This window comes from Homo sapiens, chromosome 2 (assembly GCF_000001405.40).
Source record: "Homo sapiens chromosome 2, GRCh38.p14 Primary Assembly".
Taxonomy (NCBI): domain Eukaryota; kingdom Metazoa; phylum Chordata; class Mammalia; order Primates; family Hominidae; genus Homo; species Homo sapiens.
The window spans coordinates 19,305,229-19,308,756 of record NC_000002.12 but is presented as its reverse complement, the minus strand read 5'-3'; the positions used below and the strand labels follow the sequence as shown (position 1 = coordinate 19,308,756).

General features: G+C 45.2%; 2 annotated features.

Moving 5' to 3' along the window:
- Positions 2,064-2,657: an enhancer, noted in NCBI's record as "H3K27ac-H3K4me1 hESC enhancer chr2:19505861-19506454 (GRCh37/hg19 assembly coordinates)". NCBI's record gives its function as "activates a minimal SCP1, AML or CMV promoter by ChIP-STARR-seq in naive and primed H9 embryonic stem cells {active_cell/tissue: H9 hESC(naive and primed)}" and the evidence as "EXISTENCE:reporter gene assay evidence [ECO:0000049][PMID:30033119]".
- Positions 2,658-3,251: an enhancer, noted in NCBI's record as "H3K27ac-H3K4me1 hESC enhancer chr2:19505267-19505860 (GRCh37/hg19 assembly coordinates)". NCBI's record gives its function as "activates a minimal SCP1, AML or CMV promoter by ChIP-STARR-seq in primed H9 embryonic stem cells {active_cell/tissue: H9 hESC(primed)}" and the evidence as "EXISTENCE:reporter gene assay evidence [ECO:0000049][PMID:30033119]".

Sequence of the window (3,528 nt, the reverse complement as noted above, 5' to 3'; positions counted from 1 at the left end):
TCATTCCTGCTTTCTCTTGTGGGCATTTAGTGCTATAAATTTCTCTCTACACACTGCTTTGAATGCATCCCAGAGATTCTGGTATGTTGTGTCTTTGTTCTCGTTGGTTTCAAAGAACATCTTTATTCATGCCTTCATTTCGTTATGTACCCAGTAGTCATTCAGGAGCAGGTTGTTCAGTTTCCATGTAGTTGAGCGGTTTTGAGTGAGATTCTTAATCCTGAGTTCTAGTTTCATTGCACTGTGGTCTGAGAGATAGTTTGTTATAATCTCTGTTCTTTTACATTTGCTGAGGAGTGCTTTATTTCCAACTATGTGGTCAATTTTGGAATAGGTGTGGTGTGGTGCTGAAAAAAATGTATATTCTGTTGATTTGGGGTGGAGAGTTCTGTAGATGTCTATTAGGTCCGCTTGGTGCAGAGCTGAGTTCAATTCCTGGGTATCCTTGTTGACTTTCTGTCTCATTGATCTGTCTAATGTTGACAGTGCGGTGTTAAAGTCTCCCATTATTAATTTGTGGGAGTCTAAGTCTCTATGTAGGTCACTCAGGACTTGCTTTATGAATCTGGGTGCTCCTGTATTGGGTGCATATATATTTAGGATAGTTAGCTCTTGTTGTTGAATTGATCCCTTTCCCATTATGTAATGGCCTTCTTTGTCTCTTTTGATCTTTGTTGGTTTAAAGTCTATTTTATCAGAGACTAGGATTGCAACCCCTGCCTTTTTTTGTTTTCCATTTGCTTGGTAGATCTTCCTCCATCCTTTTATTTTGAGCCTATGTGTGTCTCTGCACGTGAGATGGGTTTCCTGAATACAGCACACTGATAGGTCATGACTCTTTATCCAATTTGCCAGTCTGTGTCTTTTAATTGGAGCATTTAGTCCATTTACATTTAAAGTTAATATTGTTATGTGTGAATTTGATCCTGTCATTATGATGTTAGCTGGTTATTTTGCTTGTTAGTTGATGCAGTTTCTTCCTAGTCTCGATGGTCTTTACATTTTGGCATGATTTTGCAGCGGCTGGTACCGGTTGTTCCTTTCCATGTTTAGCGCTTCCTTCAGGAGCTCTTTTATGGCAGGCCTGGTGGTGACAAAATCTGTCAGCATTTGCTTGTCTGTAAAGGATTTTATTTCTCCTTCACTTATGAAGCTTAGTTTGGCTGGATATGAAATTCTGGGTTGAAAATTCTTTTCTTTAAGAATGTTGAATATTGGCCCCCACTCTCTTCTGGCTTGTAGGATTTCTGCCGAGAGATCCGCTGTTAGTCTGATGGGCTTCCCTTTGAGGGTAACCCGACCTTTCTCTCTGGCTGCCCTTAACATTTTTTCCTTCATTTCTACTTTGGTGAATCTGACAATTATGTGTCTTGGAGTTGCTCTTCTCGAGGAGTATCTTTGTGGCGTTCTCTGTATTTCCTGAATCTGAACGTTGGCCTGCCTTGCTAGATTGGGGAAGTTCTCCTGGATAATATCCTGCAGAGTGTTTTCCAACTTGGTTCCATTCTCCCCGTCACTTTCAGGTACACCAATCAGACGTAGATTTGGTCTTTTCACATAGTCCCATATTTCTTGGAGGCTTTGCTCATTTCTTTTTATTCTTTTGTCTCTAAACTTCCCTTCTCGCTTCATTTCATTCATTTCATCTTCCATTGCTGATACCCTTTCTTCCAGTTGATCGCATCGGCTCCTGAGGCTTCTGCATTCTTCATGTAGTTCTCGAGCCTTGGTTTTCAGCTCCATCAGCTCCTTTAAGCACTTCTCTGTATTGGTTATTCTAGTTATACATTCTTCTAAATTTTTTTCAAAGTTTTCAACTTATTTGCATTTGGTCTGAATGTCCTCCCGTAGCTCAGAGTATTTGATCGTCTGAAGCCTTCTTCTCTCAGCTCATCAAAGTCATTCTCCATCCAGCTTTGTTCCGTTGCTGGTGAGGAACTGCGTTCCTTTGGAGGAGGAGAGGCGCTCTGCATTTTAGAGTTTCCAGTTTTTCTGTTCTGTTTTTTCCCCATCTTTGTGGTTTTATCTACTTTTGGTCTTTGATGATGGTGATGTACAGATGGGTTTTTGGTGTGGATGTTCTTTCTGTTTGTTAGTTTTCCTTCTAACAGTCAGGACCCTCAGCTGCAGGTCTGTTGGAATACCCTGCCGTGTGAGGTGTCAGTGTGCCCCTGCTGGGGGGTGCCTCCCAGTTAGGCTGCTCGGGGGTCAGGGGTCAGGGATCCACTTGAGGAGGCAGTCTGCCCGTTCTCAGATCTCCAGCTGTGTGCTGGGAGAACCACTGCTCTCTTCAAAGCTGTCAGACAGGGACATTTAAGTCTGCAGAGGTTACTGCTGTCTTTTTGTTTGTCTGTGCCCTGCCCCCAGAGGTGGAGCCTACAGAGGCAGGCAGGCCTCCTTGAGCTGTGGTGGGCTCCACCCAGTTCGAGCTTCCTGGCTGCTTTGTTTACCTAAGCAAGCCTGAGCAATGGCGGGTGCCCCTCCCCCAGCCTTGCTGCCGCCTTGCAGTTTGATCTCAGACTGCTGTGCTAGCAATCATCGAGACTCCGTGGGCGTAGGACCCTCCGAGCCAGGTGCGGGTTATAATCTCGTGGTGCACCGTTTTTTAAGCCCGTCGGAAAAGCGCAGTATTCGGGTGGGAGTGACCGGATTTTCCAGGTGCGTCCGTCACCCCTTTCTTTGACTCGGAAAGGGAACTTCCTGACCCCTTGCGCTTCCCAAGTGAGGCAATGCCTCGCCCTGCTTCGGCTCGCGCACGGTGCGCGCACCCACTGACCTGCGCCCACTGTCTGGCACTCCCTAGTGAGATGAACCCGGTACCTCAGATGGAAATGCAGAAATCACCCGTCTTCTGCGTTGCTGACGCTGGGAGCTGTAGACCGGAGCTGTTCCTATTCGGCCATCTTGGCTCCTCCCCTGCACTTTTCAAATAAGGTAACATTGGAGGAAACACAGAGTTCATGACTCTATGCCATGCACTGTGCTAGGTGGTTTCTCATGCACTTTCTCTCTTTCTCTCTCTCTCTTTTTTTTTTTTTTTTGCTTTTGGCTTTAACTAAGTGGAATAAACAAAACAAAGAATCCATTAGAGAGCACTTGTGAGATGGGACAGGAAAAGTTTGCTTTTATAAGGGAAGAGGTAAAGGGAAGTATTTGCCACCAGGGCAGGGATTTATTTACTCTGCTAGTGGTTCTCAGATTACACCCAAGGGGTCTGATGCCTTTGCAAGGCCCTGCAGGATTCTGTGTACATGGGTGGGACCCTTGGCACTTTGAACAGAGCCAGGGGGATGATTTCTATAAATGTTTAGGGCACTCTCATTTGTGAAAGAAGAAACAACATGAGAAGGCATAATCTCTGTCAAGTCATAAGCTCGCAGGCTGGCTAGGAAGAAAAGGAATGATATGTAAAAGATTAAGGGTATTAGACAGCATATGGCTGTGCGTGGCACAAACATTCAGGGCCCAGGAGAATTGGTAGTTTCTACAAGCTGGGGGTCCAGGAAGCCATTTGGAACACTAGGGCTG